The 19,175-nt window shown below is 51.1% G+C and overlaps 1 pseudogene, besides 2 other annotated features; it reads right to left on the reverse strand.

Moving 5' to 3' along the window:
• On the reverse strand, positions 12,315–12,977 carry DNAJB6P5 (DNAJB6 pseudogene 5; annotated as a pseudogene).
• Positions 15,748–16,333: an enhancer, noted in NCBI's record as "H3K4me1 hESC enhancer chr11:69555555-69556140 (GRCh37/hg19 assembly coordinates)". NCBI's record gives its function as "activates a minimal SCP1, AML or CMV promoter by ChIP-STARR-seq in primed H9 embryonic stem cells {active_cell/tissue: H9 hESC(primed)}" and the evidence as "EXISTENCE:reporter gene assay evidence [ECO:0000049][PMID:30033119]".
• Positions 16,334–16,918: an enhancer, noted in NCBI's record as "H3K4me1 hESC enhancer chr11:69556141-69556725 (GRCh37/hg19 assembly coordinates)". NCBI's record gives its function as "activates a minimal SCP1, AML or CMV promoter by ChIP-STARR-seq in naive and primed H9 embryonic stem cells {active_cell/tissue: H9 hESC(naive and primed)}" and the evidence as "EXISTENCE:reporter gene assay evidence [ECO:0000049][PMID:30033119]".

The following is a 19,175-nucleotide window of genomic DNA, read 5'->3' on the forward strand; positions in this document are numbered from 1 at the left end:
CAGATTAGGACAGCCCACCTGTCTCTCTATGGGGAGATGGCTGAATTAATTGTATCAGGTTGATGCAAAAGTAATTGTGGGTTTTGCCATTGAAAGTAATGGCAAAAACTGCAATTACTTTTGCACCAACCTAATAGCACATTCACACTGTGGAATGTGATACAGCAAGGAAAAAGAAAACAAGTACAAGTTCACTCATTCACATGAATAAATCTCACAAATATAATGAAGAGGGAAAAGGCAAGACCTACACACGGGGAAAAGTAAAAAAGGACATTTTTTAGAGAGGAGTATCTAGGCTGTAAAGCTATAAAGAAAGCAGAGCTAAGTCAGAACGGTGGTTCCCTTGAGGAGAGAAGGATCGGCTGGGCTCAGAAGGGATGGGAGAGGCTTCTGTATGCTGGTTGGGGTCTGTCTCTTGCAGGGCCATTGGTTCTGTGAATTTTCACTTTAAAATTATTCACAAAACCACCGTGTGGGCCAGGTGTGGTGGCTCATGTCTATAATCCCAGCACTTTGGGAGGCCAAGGTGGTCAGATCACCTGAGGTCAGGAGTTCGAGACCAGCCTGGCCAACATGGTGAAACCCTGTCTTTACTAAAAATATAAAAATTAGCTGGATGCGGTGGCATGTACCTGTAATCCCAGCTGCTCAGGAGGCTGAGGCAGGAGAATCACTTCAATCCAGGAGGCGGAGGTTGCAGTGAGCTGTGATCGTGTCACTGCACTCCAGCCTGGGCAACAGAGCAGGACTCCATCTCAAAACAAACAAACAAACAAAAAACAAAAAACTGCTGTGTGCTTTTTTTGCACTTTTCAGTATGCCTGAGATTTTCCAGGACAGAAGAAGGAAAAAGTATGCAAGGAGAGACCATAAAAAGGTAGCCATGCCTATCTCTGGAAGGTGAGATTCCTGGCCATTTCCACTTTGATGTTAATAAAACCATCACCATTTATGAAGTGTTTGCGACGGGCCATTGCTTGACAGCTGTCATCTAATTTCAACCTCGTGACAATTTTGAAGAATAGCTTTTGTTGTCCCCTTTTCACACCTGCAAACCTGAAGGAAGAGACAGTGGGATTCACGCTCCTGTCCCTCTGAAGAGCTACGCCCTTCGATGCTTTTCTGTAAAGAATGACCATATATGACTGGAATGCAGTCAGAAAGGAGGAAGCGGCTGTCACAGTGGCTGGGCTTAGGGCAGATTCCAGGCCTCCATGGCCCTGGGTGCCAAATGGCGGGGCCACCATGGTTTCGGGGCCATCCAGGGGGCTGGTTCCCTTTCTCGGTGCTACAAGCAGGTTGTAAAGCACTTTGGAGGCCAATTGGCACCAGGACAAGGAATTGCACCCTTGAGGTGGTTCGTGACCCCATAAATTGCTCAGAGGTGGGAGGCAGCTGGGAGGCTCGGGAAAAGCACAAGCCAGGTCATTGGAGGCTGCTCCTTTCCCAAGGTGCGGCATTCCACGGGGTGATGGCCCTCGGGCCCCAGGAGAGGGAGAGGAACCTGGAGGAAAAGTGGACGCAGACAAGACCCCAGTGGAACGGGCCGGACAGCAGGCACCCCAGGACATTGTGAGTCAGGGTGGACAGGGTGCCTCCCCTGCCGGGGCCTCTCCCTGGGCACCTGCGGAGTCTCCGTAGGCCTGCAGCAAAGGGGGTTTAGGTTTCAGAGCGCACGCACATCAGAGGGACCACATCAAGCGCCTGCAGCTTCCAGGTGTGAATAAACCTATGGGGAGCGCTGGCGCTGGGCGTGGGCCCTGGGAACGGTTTAGATTCCGAGGTAACCCGATAAGCACTGGCTAACACCTGCACTCACTACCTGGAATATACAGACATATCCATCCCCATCCCCTTCCCGTGGGGAGCTGAGGCCTCCATTTCATGCTTGGGGTGCACCTACTTACTGTCTGCAATGTCCCGGCCACATCCACCATCAGAGGGGGAAGGAACCCTGTGTTTCTGAGGGAAAACTGAGGCCCAGAGAGCAAGCCTGACTCTCCGAGGCCAAGCAGAGCTGGGACCCAAGGCCTCCAGCTCGTGCCATCCTGCTGCCCCACTGCGGGCATCCATCTTCTCTGGGATTTTTGGCTTCTGAGGGGGTGCTGCCCAGGAGCTCCCGGGGACAGGGCGTGTGGCTCTCCCTGCCTCACAGAAATGTTTCAGAGGTGGAATGATATGGGCAGAATGATATGCCCATCGTGCCATATGACTCTCAGAACAACACGACAAAATTGCAGGTGCTATGATGGTCCCCATTTAGCCTTGCGTCAGGCGTTTGTCCTGGGCCAGCTCAAAGACCACACAACTGCATCCTCCATTGATTGACGGGCTGCTCTCCAAGGCGCCGGATGGGTGCTAGTGGTGGGCCTGGCTCGGAGGCATCTCCTGGACAGAGCCAGCCTGGATGCAGAACACATGCCCCTCCTGCTCCCAGGGGGTGGCCCAGCCTGTCTGTCCAGGCCAGGCCCAGGGACGTGGAGACCAGGGCAAGAGTTTCACCTGTCCAACTGCTGCACTGCACTGGCCCTGCCTGCCCATGGAGGGCACCGCAGATAAGCAGGGCAGGTACTGGGCGGTCAGAGCCATGATGGGGGTGGCACACCCTAGGGCTGAGGGCCCTGAACTGAGGGCAGCTGATGAGAGGGAGAAGTCATGGAACAGGAGCCAGGGAGCATCCTACAGCTGGAAACACAAGTGTGAGGTGTGGGACTGGGAGTCGAGGAAGCCAGAGTCAAGACTTTGAGAGAGATGGGCATCACCAGGAGGGGAAGGCTGGCAGGTGCTCTGCACTTGCAGTATCTGCAACAGAGAAAAAGATGCCCCTTGCTCTGGACATGCAGCTTGGCAGGCTGTGGGAAGATGGGCATCATCCAGGAGGGGCCCTGGCACAGGGTGTAACCTGCACAGCTGTACCAGGCTGGCCTGCCTGGGCATGTGTGTGTGTGTGTGTGTGTGTGTGTGTGCATATGGATGCGGGCTGCCCAGAGAAATGCCCCCACGTGTGCACACACTTATGCGCACTGTCTTGCACACAAGCCCAGGAGAAAGACTGCCAGAACAGTGGGACCCTGGACGTTCCCTGGGCCAGTTAAGCTCACCGAGGTTTCTCCAGCCTGATTGGTGGGGCCGGCTTGGGAACTGGGAGAGACAATGGCTCTAGAGCCCAGGAGCTTGGATTCACTCTTTCTCATGTGTAGAAAGAATGACATGCCCCTTGTGCCATATGACCCTCAGAACAACACTACAAAACTGCAGGTGCTATGACTGTCCGTGTTTTGCAGAAGAGGAGACTGAGGCTTGCAGATGTTTGCAGAGTTGCCTAGGTCCAGGCAGCAGGTAGGAGGTTGGAACGGCAACAATAGCGACTGCTGCAAGATGAGCCTCAAATCCATGAGATGGGGTTTTGAGGTCCTCCTGTGCTGGCTGTGGTATCTGCATGCCTTTCTGTACCTTGGGAGCTTATGTGCATAAAGAAAGAGTGACCAGCAGAACGCTGGCTGCAGGGGGATGCTCTGCAGGTTGCGGGCACATGAGGAGCTGTCTCCATACTGCATCCTCGGGTGTTTCCTAGTTGGCCATTTGCAGTGAGTACCTCGGGTCTGAATCACCAGGGGTCAGGTTTAAGAGCTGAGGGTCAGAGGTTACCAAGGTACCCATGCCAAGCCAGAGGGCTGACCTTTATTTGACCAAGTCGAGGGACCCCCAGGACCCCAAAGAGGGGCTTCAGGCCCCTGGCTGCCTTCTGAAATGATGCTTGGGGGTTGATCCTAATCGCCCCTAATTTAGGGGCCAAATGGTCAATTAAGGGACTATTAGAGAGTCAGAGAAGCAGAAGGTGAACTGAGGAGACAGATGAGAGGCAGCTGATGCCTCTGCCATCGGAGCTAGGCATGGGTTCTGCCGGCCAGCCCAGGCCTGGGAGGGAGGGTGGCTGCCTCCTCCCCTGGCATTGGCGGGGCTGGGCCTTGTTGTCAGCACCCCCGAGAGACCTGATGGCAACATTTCCTGAGGTCTGCCAGCAGCCAAGTGCCTGGCAACATGCCCCATTGCCATTTCTTCAGTTAATACTCAAATAAGCTAAATATCTACCAAGTGCCTCAGTCACTGGTCAAACACCAGTCTAGGTGCTGGGGACTCATCAGGGAGCGAAGTCAAGTCCCTGCCCTTGAGGAGCTGTAATTCTAGAGGACAGGGTGGGGACTGAAAAATAACTAAGCAGCTAAGTGTGCAATACATCAGGTGCTGCCGGCTTCCCAAGCTTAGTGGCTTCACACAAAACCCTAGTATTGCTCACAACTCTGTGTGCAGGAACTGGGGACTCAGCAAGGTCAGCTTGCGACCGCTCTACCTGCCCGCTGGTCTCCCTCTGAGACTTCCATCCTCAGGAGGCCGGGCTGGGTCGGAGGTCCGAGGTGGCTGCCCTCCTCCACCAGGGACCCCAGGGCTCTTGCACACATGTCTCTCTCCAAAGCAGGGCTGCTTGAGATTGGGCTCCGGCTCACAGATCTGTGGGGTCCTGGAGGCCTTGTAAGAACACTGGCTTTTGCTCTGAGCAAGAGGGTCCCAGAGTACAAAAGCACAAAGGCAGCTGCACTGAGCGGGAAGGGGCGCAGGTAGACTCCGATGGTGGCTGGGACCAGGGGTGGTCAGATTCTGCCTCCATCCTGCAGGGTAAGGGGACAGGGCCTGCTGCTAGATGGGGCTTCTGGCCTGGGAGCAGGAGGGTGAAGTGGCTGAGTCCCCAGCTGGGAGGTGGGTGAAAAGAGCAGGTTTGAGTGGGAGGTCCTGGCACAGTTTGGACTTGTGGAGTTGGAGGTCCTGTGAGACATCCATGCAGCAGTCTCTGGGGCAGCTGGAGGCGAGAGTCTGGAGTCCAGGGAGACAGACGTTCTGGGTCACCAGAGTCAATGAATTTCAACTCGAGGGCATTGGGAAGTGTATTAGTTCATTCTCACACTGCTAATAAAGACATACCCGAGACTGGGTAATTTATAAAAGAAAAAGGTTAATTGACTCACAGTTCCACATTGCTAGGGAGGCCTCAGGAAACTTACAATCATGGCGGAAGGTAAAAGGCACGTCTTCACAGGGCGGCAGGAGAGAGAACAAGAGCCAAGCAAAAGTGGAAGCCCCTTATAAAACCATCAGATCTTGTGAGACTTGTTCACTACCATGAGAACAGTATGGGGGAAATCACCTCCATGATTCAATCATCTCCCACTGGGTCCCTCCCACAACACATGGGAATTATGGGAGCTACAATTCAAGATGAGATTTGGGTGGGGACACAGCCAAACCACATCAGGGAGCTTGCCTGCCTGGTAAGCATGGGGGAGAGGGGTCAGACGGAGCCACAGCTCTGTGGCCTTAGGAGGTCAGTAAATGCAGAGAGCAGCATGCGGAACAGAGGAGGAGGTGACTGGGGCTGAGAGGCACCCACATGGCGTGGAGCACATTGGGGGGCGAGGGGTGATCAGAGGTCCTGCAGGTGGAGGAGCAGCTGCTAGATGTGCCAAGAGCAGGTCGAGGATCCCAGGGAGGGGCTGGCCTGGCTGGGTGGGTTCCACAGGGCTGGGGAAGGAGAGTGCAGAGGACAACGCCTAATGCTGCAGGAGAGAGGGGCAAGTGTGGAGGCGTGTTCTGGGGCCGGGCACAGGCAGGAGCCAGGACAGAGAGGGGGCCAAGCGTCTGGGCCCAGGGGCAGGAGTCAAGGGGTGAGGAGGGGCCGTGCATACAGGCTCTCTTTGGAGGAGAGGAGGCACAATGGGAAAGAAACTTCTAGAAGGTTCTACAGACCAGAGGTTAAGCCACTTGTCCAAGGTCATATCGCAAGAAAGGGGCTCTGTGTGGATTGGACCTCATGCCTCAAGGCCAGGGGCTAGAAAACCTGGGCTTACCCTGAGGGCTGCAGAGTGAAGCCTGTGGAGGCATGGCGGCTGCCTCCTTCTCTCTGTGCTCTGGCCTCCAGGCCCGCCTCACCTCCACCTGTCCTGACCACCACAGAGATCCTGCTGAGCACAGACCCATGGCAAACCTGTGGCAGGAACTGGCGACCTCCAGCTAGGAATGGCTGTGGGGGGCCCTGGATCTGGCCACCTGTGACTATGCCTGGCATTGCTGGTCTCTGCCCCGGAGGCCCCTTCCCTGGGTCACTGGCCCTAACCTGGGTCCTGTCAGGGACCCCCTGAACCGAGGGGCTGCTGCCTCAAGGGTGCCCCTCCGTCCTTGGGCCACACGTCCACTGTGGCCAGTTGGCCTCTGGTTACACCCTTGTCTCCTCACGAGGCCATGGGGACCTCGATGACTGCCCCCCACCTGGGCTGGGTGCTGGCCTGGCCCTCAGAGGCGCTTCACTAAGTGCTTGCTGGGCAGGTGAGAGCCGCAGTGCATCTCCCATGTGGAGAAGGCAGAGCGTGTCTGGGTGGGAGGTCAGCCCTGCCCGCTTCCGTTTGTCAACCTGGGGCTAGGTCTCCTTGCTCCTGGCAGGACCTCCGACATCCTCGCCATCCACGGAGGCAGAGATGGGGCAAATAGCTCTGGTGTTGGTGTTCCCCAGCATCAGCCAGGCCTGGAGGGATGGGGCAGACCCCAGCTTAGGGGTGGAAGGTTTTGGGGGGTCCACCAGGTGAGGCTACTTATACCACTCACATCCTATAGATATGGACCAAGTGGGTCCCTTCTGTACCACCTGCACAGAGGTTCTGGGGCTTTGTTTTTTGTGGGTTTTTGTTGTTGCTATTGTTGTTGTTTTGTTTTGTTTTTGTTTGTTTTGAGACAGGGTCTGGCTCTGTCACCCAGGCTGTAGTGCAGTGGCACAATCACATCCCGTTGCAGCCTCAACCTCCTGGCCTCATGTGATCCTCCTGTCTCAGCCTCCTGAGTAGCTGGGACTGGTCACCTTATTTGTGACATGACCAGTGAGCCTGGGTGGGATCCTCTCTATCAGTGCACCTGCCTCTCAGGACTGTGCTTATGATTCCCTTGGGAAACGTCTATCTCTACATTGAGAGGAAGACCCTCAATGCATCTGTATACAACAGACAGGACCTCTCACCTAATACTTAGATGACAGCTTAACCAGGGAACATCACCACCTCCCCCCAAAAACAAAACATACACACACTTTAGTCACAGGTAAACCCAGCTCAAGAGGGGCCCCCAGTCCTGGCCACTGAATAGGGAGAAGGAGGCCTGGCTTGACCCCATCTCTGCGCTGTGGTCAGCCCACTCTCTTGGGTCCCTCATCCCCTTGTCTGTTCCTTGAACTGTGAGCGGCTTTGTGGTTTGGGGGTCTTATATGTTGCTCTGTGATTGAAAGTGATTTGTTTTGGCTGAAAGTAATTTGTTTTCCAGGCTAATTTGATTATCCCCAGGGGGGCTTCCTACCTGGGGCCCCAGGCTGCCCGCTATTACCATCAATTACCATAAAGACCCTCTTCAAAGGGCAGGACCCCTGAGGTTGGCCCATTAAGGCAGGGCTGAGCCCCTGCGGGCCAGCAATAAACTTTCTGATGTTAAATGATGGCTGAAGTGTCAGACGCAGGTGATGGGGAGCTGGGGCCAGGGCCACTGTGGCTTATGAGGGTGAGATGCCTACTCATTGAAAACCGGGTCTCTGTGGGGTTTCTGCAGCCCCCGGCAGGGACACCCTGAGTCAGCCCTGGAGTAACAGACAAGGTCCATCTACGCTTTCCTATATGAGGCTCCCAAAATGGGCAGGCCCTTGGAAACTCTTTCCCAAATCTTGTCAACAACCCAAGAGGCAGGGGTGATTTGTGCCCATTTTACGGGTAAGGAAACTGAGGCTCAGAGAGGTGAGGGGACCTGCCCAGGCCACTCAGAGAGAAGGTGGAAGATTACAGGATAGAGAGGTAGGCCCAAGTACCACCCACTCCACCCAGAGACCCCCTAGATGTGACAGTTGTTAGGCACGTGCCCAATCTCTTCAGCCTCAGAGTGTTTGGTTCTGAGGTTGGGCTTGTGAGCACCTCCCAAGAGGAATCAGCCCCATGACTCACTGGCCAGGTCTAACAGCCCCAGTACCTTGCACAAATGACTGGGCTCCGTGGGGCATCCGAAGCCAGAACAGGAGACGAGTCTGTCAAGCAGTTGGGCCTCCTTTAAGCAGATATTTCAGGAGGGGCAGGATCCTGAGGGCTGTGCTGTGATCCCACACACGTGGGCAGGGCCACGGCAGGCATCTGAGTGCGAGGAATAGCTGAGACTTCACTGGCAAACAGCTGGTGTCCAACTTTGCCAACTGGGTCCCATCCCCTGCGGGTGCAGGGTCATAAGCCTGGTGACACCCTCTGTGTTTTCTCCCAGCTCTTCCCAAGGGAGTCAGTGGATCTCTGGAAACATTCCGTGGGTGCCTAAAGCCTTGACCTGGGGGCCAGTGAACCATATAAACATTACAAATCCTAGGAAAGAAAAGGAAGAAGGGAAGAAAAGGAGAGAAAAAGAGAGAAGGAAAGAAAGGAGAGGGAAAGAGGGAAAGAAAAGAAAGAAGAGAGAAAGGAGAGAAAGAAAAGAAAGAAGAGAGAAAGGAAATAAAGAAAAGATAGAAAAAAGAAGGAAGGAAGGAGGAAAAAAAGGAAGGAAAGAGAGAAGAGAGAAAGAGAGAAAGAAAGAAAGAAAGAGAAAGAAAGAAAGAAAAGAAAGAAAAAGAAAGAAGGAAAGAAAGAAAGAAAAGAAAAAGAAAGAAAGAAGGAAAGAAAGAAGGAAAGAAAGAAAGAAAGAAAGAAAGAAAGAAAGAAGGAAAGAAAGAAAGAAAGAAAGAAAGAAAGAAAGAAAGAGAGAGAGGCTTCTTTCTCCCCACCCCCTGCAGCCAGAGTCCATCTTCCACTACAGCAGTGAATGTTTGGTTGGAGCCAAGAGAGGAAGAATAAGGACTTTCATAGATGCTCTGGTGGCTGGAAATGCAGTGAAGGAATGCAGGAGACAGGATGACCTTTTACAGAAAAAATTCTCCTTTCTCAGCCCGCCCAAGGCTCTGCTGGCTTTTCCTGTGGCTTTCCCAGGGATTCCCTGTGAACCACTTCCTTTCGCCCCAGTTGGAATATCTGGGAGGAAAAACCTGTCGGGGGACCCCTTGGCTGGGGTTTGTGCCAGGGACCCTCTCAGGTCTTCCTTGAAGATGAAATGTGCCAGCATCCAGCAACAGTGTCCTGCCCAGGCTGTGGATTTCCTCCTGGCAGGTCCAGACCTAGCTCTGCTGCCCACCCACCTCTTCCCACCAAAAGGAGAGTTCATTATGGGGGTGGGGGGTGTAGATGGAGCATAAGCAAGTTGGCCATGGGCTGGGGAGAGGCTACATATAGTTAGTGATCGTATCTGGGGCAGTATGAGATTCATGGTTTGCTTTGATTTTATGACCAAACTTTTGGGGTATTTATAGGATGGCTAATGTTCTCCATGATCTCTTATTACATGGTAAGCCACTTCAAAACTTAGGGGCTTAAAACATCCACCATTTTATTTTTCTCATAATTCTGCAGTTTGGGCAGGGCTCAGCAGGGATGGCTCATCTTGGATCCATGTGGTGGGCTGGGTCACTCCCATGGGTACATTCAGCTGGGAGCGTGGTTGATTGAAAGTTCCAAGATGGCTTCATCCACATGCCAGGTGCCTTGGCTGGGCTGGCTGGACAGGCTGGGGGCTGGCTGGGCATTCTCATTCTTATTCATTCATTCATTCATTCATTCTCTCTCTCTCTCTCTCTCTCTCTCTCTGTTCTCCTGCATGGTCTTTTGCTACATAGTCTTTTCAGCACGGTAGCTGGACCTTTTTACCTGATGGCTTGGGTCTGCAAGAGAGAGATAGCAGAAGCTGGCACAGGTGAAGCTGCACCCTCCTCCCCAGAAACAACTCCTAGGTATATACACCCTAGAAAAATGTGTGTGCTGGAGCCAGTGTTGTTGGGAATGGCAGCAGCAACAACAATAACAAGAAAAGATCTGAACATCCCCAACAGGAGAATGGTCACATGGTTTGTGCTATAGTCATGTGGTGGATTGCTAGGCAGTGGTGAAAAATGAATTTCTAGGCTGGGCGTGGTGGCTCATGCCTGTAATCCCAGCACCTCAGGAGGCCAAGGCAGGTGGATCACTTGAAGTCAGGAGTTTGAGACCAGACTGGGCAACATGGTGAAGCCCCGTCTCTACTAAAAAGCACAAAAATAAGCCGGGTGTGGTGGTGCGCACCTGTAGTCCCAACTACTCAGGAGGCTGAGGCAGGAGAATCGCTTGAACCCGAGTAGGTGCAGGTTGCAGTGAGCAGAGATCACACCACTGCACTCCAGCCTGGACAACAGAGCAAGACTTCTTCTCAAAAAAAAAAAAAAAAAGAAAAGAAAAAGAAAAAAGAATTTTTAGCCATTGGTAGAGATAAATCTCCCACACAAGATAGGAAGTGAAAAAAGGAAGTCTCCAGGCTGGGTGCAGTGGCTCACACCTGTAATCCTAGCACTTTGGGAGGCTGAGGCGGGTGGATCATGAGGTCAGGAGATCGAGACCATCCTGGCTAACATGGTGAAACCCCGTCTCTACTAAAAATACAAAAAATTAGCCGGGCGTGGTGGTGGGCGCCTGTAGTCCCAGCTACTTGGGAGGCTGAGGCAGGAGAATGGCGTAAACCCGGCATGTGGAGCTTGCAGTGAGCCGAGATCGCGCCACTGCACTCCAGCTGGAGCCACAGAGCGAGACTCTGTCTCAAAAAAAAAGGGAAGCCTCCAAATGCAGAAAAATGGTTACCTCTGGGGAGAGAGGGCACGTTGGGCACCAAACTGTTGGTGATAGGTGATATTGTATTCATGAAGCTTGGTGGTGGGTTTATGTGTGTTTGCTTTGTTGGTGTTTTTTACACATTTTGCAGGCGTGACATGCACAATTTTTTTTTAACAGATACCACTCAGGAAAGAATACACCAAACACATTTGCATTTCTTTTCTTTTTCTTTCTTTTTTTTTTTTTTAAGCAAATGACAAAGACCCAGTTTACCAGCTTTACTTTTTTTTTTTTTTTTTGAGACAGAGTCTCACTCTGTCACCCAAGCGGGAGTGCAGTGGCGCAATCTCGGCTCACTGCAAGCTCCGCCTCCCGGGTTCATGCCATTCTCCTGCCTCAGCCTCCCGAGTAGCTGGGACTACAGGCGCCTGTCACCACACCCTGCTAATTTTTTGTACTTTTAGTAGAGACGGGGTTTCACCGTGTTAGCCAGGATGGTCTTGATCTCCTGACCTTGTGATACACCCACCTTGGCCTCCCAAAGTGTTGGGATTACAAGCGTGAGCCACTGTGCCTGTAAAGCCACCAGCTTTACTTTTTTAAACCTAAGCTTAATATTACATATTTAAACACTTAAACAATTGTTTAAGTTGCCAGCATTCATGCACAACTAGAAAACATCCTTAATTTATATTAAACCAGAAATGTATTACCATTAATGCATTAATATCTTTCACTACTAAATACTAAAAAAAAATCGAAATTATTTCTGTAGAAGATTCGTCCTGGCAGTGTTAACTTCACAGCAGGCCGACACTATGTGACTCACATTTCAGACGCCGTGGAAAAGCAGATCCATGCTGGTGTTAGTGTTAGTGTTAATTGTCCTACACTAAAGAATCAAGGCTCACCTTGCAGTACGTTTGATAAAAAAGCAAAGTGCATGCAGAGATTTACACCAATTAAAAAAAATATATGGGCTGGGCATGGTGGCTCACGCCTGTAATCCCAGCACTTTGGAAGGCCGAGGCAAGTGGATCACCTGAAGTCAGGAGTTCAAGACCAACCTGGCCAACATTGCGAAACCCTGTCTCTACTAAAAGTACAACAATTAGCCGGGTGTGGTGGCACACGCCTGTAATCCCATCTACTCCAGAGGCTGAGGCAGGAGAATCGCTTGAACCTGGGAGGTGGAGGTTGCAGTGAGCCAGGATCGTGCCATTGCACTCCAGCCTGGGTGACAGAGTGAGACTCCATCTTAAAAAAAAAAAAAAAAAGACAAACAAAACCAAAAACAAACAAAAAAACCACAAGAAAACAATGGTCCTATTATGTGGCCCCAACAATCAACTCAAAAGTCTATGACAAATAGAGGCTCCAGTGAGCTGTTTATAAATACTTTACATTAGGTACAATTATACTGAAAGTCGAGTTCATTTGAAATCTTCAAAAAAAAGTTCCCGTTAATCCTCCAGTGGCACTTGTTTTAGTTTAACATTTCTGTTAAAAGCGTGCGTTGAATTACTCGTTATCCAAACACAGCAGCTGCTCCTTACCATGGATTGTTAAGGACTTTAACCGGCTGTCTTCTTCAACTTCTACTCTTTCTTGACCATTCTCAACAGTTCTCTTTGTAGTCATTTTTCTGCCATTAACCATTTTAGCAGAAGTTGATATTGATTCGAAGTTGCCCATCCCACTACCACCAAATGATGTGGAAGAGAATGAAGTGAGGCCCCCATGAGCCAGGGACCTAAATGAAGTAAATACTGCATCAAAAGAAGAAAATCCACTTCCAAAAGATGGAAATCCACTGAACGTGGAGAAGAACGACCCCGTCCCTCAGCTTCTGCTTCCTCGGGAACCCCTTTGATTCCCAAAAATGTCCTCAAAAAGGTTTTCAAAGAAGTCAAATGAGAATGGGTGCCTTCCACCAAAAAATTCCCTGAAGACATCATCTGGGTCACAAAATGTGAAGCCAAACTCAAACGGACTCTCAAAATGATTTCCACCTCTTCCTCCACCAATTCATCCTTCTTTGCCTTATTTGTCATAGTTGTCCTGTTTCTTAGCATCTGACAGCACCTCATACGCCTCCACTACTTGTTTGAATTTTCTCTCTGCTTCTTCTTTGTTCTCAGGATTTTTATCTAGGTGTCACTTCAGTGCCAGTTTCCGATACGCCTTTTTACTATCCTTGGGTGAGGCGCATCTCTGCATGCCTAGAACATCATAGTAATCCACCATGTTTTAAGCAATTGTTGGAATATGTCTGAGAACAGAGGCAGCCGGTGACAGGATGCAGGGGAGGTGGGGTGGTGGCCTGGATCTCCTGTCAGCTCCAGCACTGCTGTGCTTGCAATGTTTTGTATGTGTGGAAATGTCAGATTCTGTCACCCATGAACAGATTCCGGTTGTGCTGATGCACACATCTGCCTGCACACACCTTCACATACAGGTTTGCTCATGATGCACCCACACGTGAGCACTCATACAACACACTCAGGGATCTGCTGTAGGGCCCTGGTGGGTGTCTGGGACACTGCCCCCTCCAGAACTCAGGCCTGTCCATTGGCCCCTGAGGTGTCTCTGGGGCTCTAATCTTTAGGCTGGTCTCCCAGGAGAAGATGCGAGGCTCTGGGTGGGCTGCTGACATGGGCTCTGGGTTGGAAGCCTTTGTGGCTCAATGTTGGCCCTTAGTGCCTGCATGAAGGAGCCCCGGTGAGACATGGAGAGGCCTTAGACAAATGAAATTACAGGGGAGCTGCTGGGCATGTGGCCAGATCAGGCTCCCAGCTCCCAGGCAGCTGGCCCCAGAGGCAAGTCCGGACAGCAAAGCCACCTGTTAGGTAGGCTTTTGCCTGGCAGCATCCTCAAGAACACCTTGCCCTCTGACACACAGTGGTAGCCAGCACCCCAATGGCTTCCAATGGGCTACTCTCTGGTATCAGTGCCCGTGTAGAGTTCCCTCCCTCATTGTTTCAGGGTTGCTCTCTAGGACCAGTAGAATGTGGTGAAGTGGCAGAGTATGACACCCAAGACATTACCACTTGCACCTGGCTCTTTCTTGGATCACATGCTCTGGGGGAAGCCAGCTGCCATGTTGGGAGCCCTATGGAAAGTCTGAGTGGTGAGGAACTGAGGCCTCCTGCCCATAGACATGTGAGTGAGGCACCTTGAAAGTGGATGCTCCAGCCCCAGTCAAGCCATCAGATGAGACTACAGCCCTAGCTGACATCTTGATTTCAACATGAGAGGTCTTGAGCCAAAAACATCCAGTTAAGCTGCTCCCACATATCTGATACAGAGCTATAATACTATGTGAGATAATAAAGGTCCATTGTTGTTTTCAGCCTCCAAATGTTGGGGAAATGTACTGTGTAACAGTAGATAACTAATATAGGCCAGGCGTGGTGGCTCACGCCTGTAATCCCAGCACTTTGGGAGGCCAAGGCAGATGGATCACCTGAGGTCAGGAGTTCGAGACCAACCTGGCCAATATGGCAAAACCCCGTCTCTACTAAAAATACAAAAATTAGCCAGGCATGGTGGCACATGCCTGTAGTCTCAGCTACTCAGGAGGCTGAGGCAGGAGAATCACTTGAACTTGGGAGGCAGAGATTGCAGTGTGCTGAGATCGCACCATTGCACTCCAGACTGGGCCACAGAGTGAGACTTCGTCTCAAAAATAAATAAATAAATAAATAAACAAATAAACTAATATAGACACCCTTCCCATTTACTGAACACTTATGTGTGAATGCTTTACATCCTGACCTAGTCTCATCATCACAGAATTCATGGAGGTGGATATAATGGTCCCCATTTCATAAAGAGACAGAGGTTCATGGAGGATCAGTGACTTGTCAAAGTCCTACAGCTAGGAAGGAGCTCAGAGCCACATTCCAAACCAAGGTCTGTCTTTCCCTTATGCATCGCTTCTTCCTTTTTCAATTGCTTTGGAGACAGAGGGAGCTGCTCATCTACAGAGGTCACTGTGGGCCTAAGTGTCTGGTGAGACATTTCAGTGGCTCAGAGAATTCTTTTTTTTTTTTGAGATGGAGTTTTGCTCTTGTCGCCCAGGCTGGAGTGCAGTGGTGCTATCTTGGCTCACTGCAACCTCCGCCTCCTGGGTTCAAGCCATCCTCCTGCCTCAGCCTCCTGAGTAGCTGGGATTACAGGTGTACGTCACCATACCCAGATAATTTTTGTCATTTTTGGTAGAGACTGGGTTTCACCATGTTGGCCAGGCTGGTCTTGAACTCCTGACCTCAGGTGATCTGCCCACCTCGGCCTCCCAAAGTGCTGGGATTACAGGCGTGAGGCATCGCACCCGGCCACAGGGAATTCTTTAGAGTAACAACTACAAGAACAATGACTTGTATTTGGTATTAATTTCCCAAGGCTGCTATAATAAACAACGGCAAACTTGATAGCTTGAAAGATCAGAAATGTATTGTCTCACAGTTCCGGAGGCCAGAAATTTCAAAATCAGGGAGTCAGCATGGCCCTGCTCCTTCTGAAGGCTCCAGGGAAGGACACTTGCTGCCCTTTCCACCTTCTGGTGTCTCCAGACATTCCTTGGCTTATGGCTGCATCACTCCAGCCTCAGCCTCCAGCTTCACAGGGCCTCCTGAATATCTACATCTTCCCCTTGTCTGTCTGTCTCTCTCTCTCTTTCTTTTTTTTTTTTTTTCTGAGACAGAGTTTCACTCTTGTTGCCCAGACTGGAGTGTAATGGCTTGATCTCAGCTCACTGCAACCTCTGCCTCCCGGGTTCAAGTGATTCTCCTGCCTCAGCTTCCTGAGTAGCTGGGATTACAGGTGCATGCCACCACACCCCGCTAATTTTTTTGTCTTTTTAGTAGAGATGGGGTTTCATCATATTAGCCAGGCTAGTCTCAAACTCCTGACCTCAGAGGATCCACCCGCCGTGGCCTCCCAAAGTGCTGGGATTACAGGCGTGAGCCACTGCACCCGGCCATCTCTCATAAGAATACCAATCACTGGATTTAGGGCCCATCCTAGTCCAGGATGATCTCATCTTGATTCTTACCTTAATTACATCTGTAGAGATCCTTCTCCCAAATAAGTTCACCTTGTGAGGTTCCAGGCAGACATACATTTTGTGGGGACACAATTCAACTCAGTACATATTTCTTCAGAGTATTGTCATTTATTACAAAATGCCTATGCTTCGGAGCAAACCCGAGAGGTAGGTTCTGTTTTTATCCTCCACAGCCAATTGCAAAACGGGGACTCAGCAAGGTGAGGGTACCTGCCCAAGGTCTCACAGCAAGCAAGCGGCAGAGGTGGGGTTCACATACAGGGAGTGGGGAAGGGGGGCCAGGCAGCCTAGGCCCTCAAAGTCGTGGCTTCTGACTCCCGGTCCAGCGCTCGGTTGGATGGAGTCCTAGCCTTCCCTGGAGCAGGCGTGGCAAGACCCACAGGTGGCTGCCCCGGGGGCCTCTCCAGGTGGGCTCTGAGGCCATCAGAACCTGGTAATGATTGGGGACTTCTCCTTGCTGTGTTCCCTGATGGTCCATTAAAGGCAAGTTGGGGCCCAATGATTACAGGGAAAGTTCAACTGGCTTCCCCTTTGAAATACACAAAGGCTGCACAGGTAATGGGCTTGAGCCCTGGTGTTTGAAGTGGCAGTCCTTCCAGGGAACATCTGGAGGGCTGTGCCCCTGCACAACAAACGCTCGGAGCACGGCTGGCCCTCAGAGGCTGCTTGCGCCAAACATCGGGGCAGGTTCTGCTTTTTTCTTTGATTTTGATGCGTCCCAAATTCTAGGATGCTCACTTGTGTCTTTCTTTGGTGATGGGTAAGTGGTGGGGCGGTCTTTCTTTTCATTTTCCTCAGAGCTGAACTTCAGAGAATATTAACACCAAAGAACCAGTGTGGCCTCATTAACTCAGGATTAGTGCCGAACCAAGTGATTACTGCAGATTCTCACAACAGTTTAAAAAAAATGTGCAGTTGACATCAGAGAGCCACCCTGATCAGAGCCCTGTTGCAGGAGTGCTGGGGACCAGCAAGCTCCCCTGTTTCTGGTTGCCCCATGCACTCAGCACAGTGCTTATCAAGCACCTGCCATGTGCCGGGGGATGGGGACACGGCAGCCACAAAGCACATGGTCCCTGCTTCAGGGCCACAGCATCTAGGGGAGAAATAATAATCAGCAAGAGAACCAATGCACAAGATGGTTTTGGATGGTAATAAATGCTTGGAAGAAAATCAAATAAGCGGCCAGGTATGGGTGGCTCACACCTGTAACCCCAGCACTTTGGGAGCCCAAGGCGGGCGGATCATTTGAGGTCAGGAGTTCGAAACCAGCCTGGCCAATATGGTGAAACCCTGTCTCTACTAAAAATACAAAAAAAATTTTAGCTGGGCATGGTGGCAGGTGCCTATAATCCCAGCTACTCAGGAGGCTGAGGGAGAATCACTTGAACCTGGGAGATGGAGGTTGCAGTGAGCAGAGATCGTGCCACTGCACTCCAGCCTGGGCGACAGAATGAGACATCATATCAAAAAAAAAACAAAAAAAAAAAAAAAGGAAAATCAAAAAAGCAGATGATAATGGTGGTGTGTTTAGGGGGAATCACTTTAGCTACAGAGGTGAGAGAAGCCAGTATTTAAGCTGAGATCGCCATGCAATGGGGACTCAGCCCCGCAGAGACCTGGAGAAGAGCACCCGAGACTGCAAAGGCCCTGAGGCAGGAAGCGTTTAAGGCATTGGAGCACCAGCCTGGAAGGGTGGAGGGGCTGCAGGGTGGTGGGCATGACAGGGGTCAGTGTGTGGCTGGGTCAGGGGAGGAGAGGACATGGCCGAGGCCTCACCCTGCAGAACACGTGGCTCTTGTTCTATGTGGGGGTAGCACTGGCGATGTGGGCAGGGGAATGACTCGGTTTTAAGCATCTTACCTGGGAACATCTGGTTTTTCAGATGGCTTTCCCGGAGCACACCATCACACAGGGAGCTTCTGTCTGACTCCTATCTGAAGCCCCAGCGCACAGGTTGGGGCCCGGCACATAGGATGGCTTCAGCATAAGATGGCCTGCAGGATCAGGGTCAGCAATGAGGAAAAAGTTACCAATGAGCCTTGAGTGTCCTCCAAGGCTGATTGCAGAAGAGGATGTGGCTGGCTTGGAGAAGACTAGACTGCTCTCTGGGAGGAAGCTTGATGCTGCCAGTATCCCTCCAGCCCAGAAGGGAAGACCAGCTCTTACCACCACAGAGACCAGGGCTTGCAGAGGGAATGCGAGCCGCTGCAAAGGGCTGAACCCTCCTCTTCCTGCCTTAGCCAGTCTCCTGAGCTTCCCAGGCCCTCACATGGGGCCTGAGTGGGCACTCGCCAGGTGTTAGGTCTGACAAAGGTGTGAATGAATGAAGAAATGAATGAGTGATGCTGTCCTACTGGTCCAGGAAGGAAAGGTGCTGGCGTCCCCTGGGTCTGGAAGACCTTCCCCTGCTCTTTGTAAGTTCCTCCTCAGCTGGTGTCCTGTGGTGTCCTGGCTGGAAGGAATGATGGCCAGGAGATATACAGACCATATGGGCGGGGGGCGGGGGCCCTGCCCTGCCTGTTCATCCTTGTCCACTGCCCACAGGGACTGGAGAGGGGCCGCCCACGATGGCTTTCACTCCACACCTCCATATGCTGGGATGCGGGGGTTGGGGGGCTGGACTTTTAGAAAAATCCTGATACTTATTGCTTTTTTTTTTTTTCCTGCTCTGAAACTTTTTCTGGTTACAAAAGTTTGCTGTGGAAATTTTAGAAACAGCTGAGAACAAATGTGCAGGCACAGAGATGCACACACAAAAATGCTCTGTGTCCCATTACCCAGAGATGACCAGCATGAACATTGTGGTGTTTGTCCTTCCAGAACTTCCAAGCACAGTCATGTATGTGTATCTTTTTCAAATACCTTTCTAGTAAACCATTCTAACCTGCTCTTTTAAAGATTTATTTATTTATTTTTATTTTTTAGACAGAGTCTTGCTCTGTCACCAGGCTGGAGTACAATGGTGCGATCTTGGCTCACTGCAACCTCTGCCTCCTGGGTTCAAGTGATTCTCCTGCTTCAGCCTCCCGAGTAGCTGGGACTACAGGCACCCGCCACCACGCCCGGCTAATTCTTGTATTTTTAGTAGAGACAGGGTTTCTCCATGTTGGCCAGGATGATATTGATCTCCTGGCCTCGTGATCCGCCCACCTCAGCCTCCCAAAAACCTGCTTCTTTGACTGAATAGCTTGGGAACATCTTTCTGCATCACTGAATAGTGTTTTGCATCCTTTTTAATGCTGCAGAATATAAATTCCAGTGTTACTTCACCTGTCCCCTTTAGATTGACACTAAAGTTGTTTCTCTCTCTCTCTCTCTTTTTTTTTTTTTTTTTTTTGATACTAAGTCTCGCTGTCACCCAGGCTGGAGTGCAG

Source organism: Homo sapiens, chromosome 11 (genome assembly GCF_000001405.40).
Source record: "Homo sapiens chromosome 11, GRCh38.p14 Primary Assembly".
NCBI lineage: Eukaryota > Metazoa > Chordata > Mammalia > Primates > Hominidae > Homo > Homo sapiens.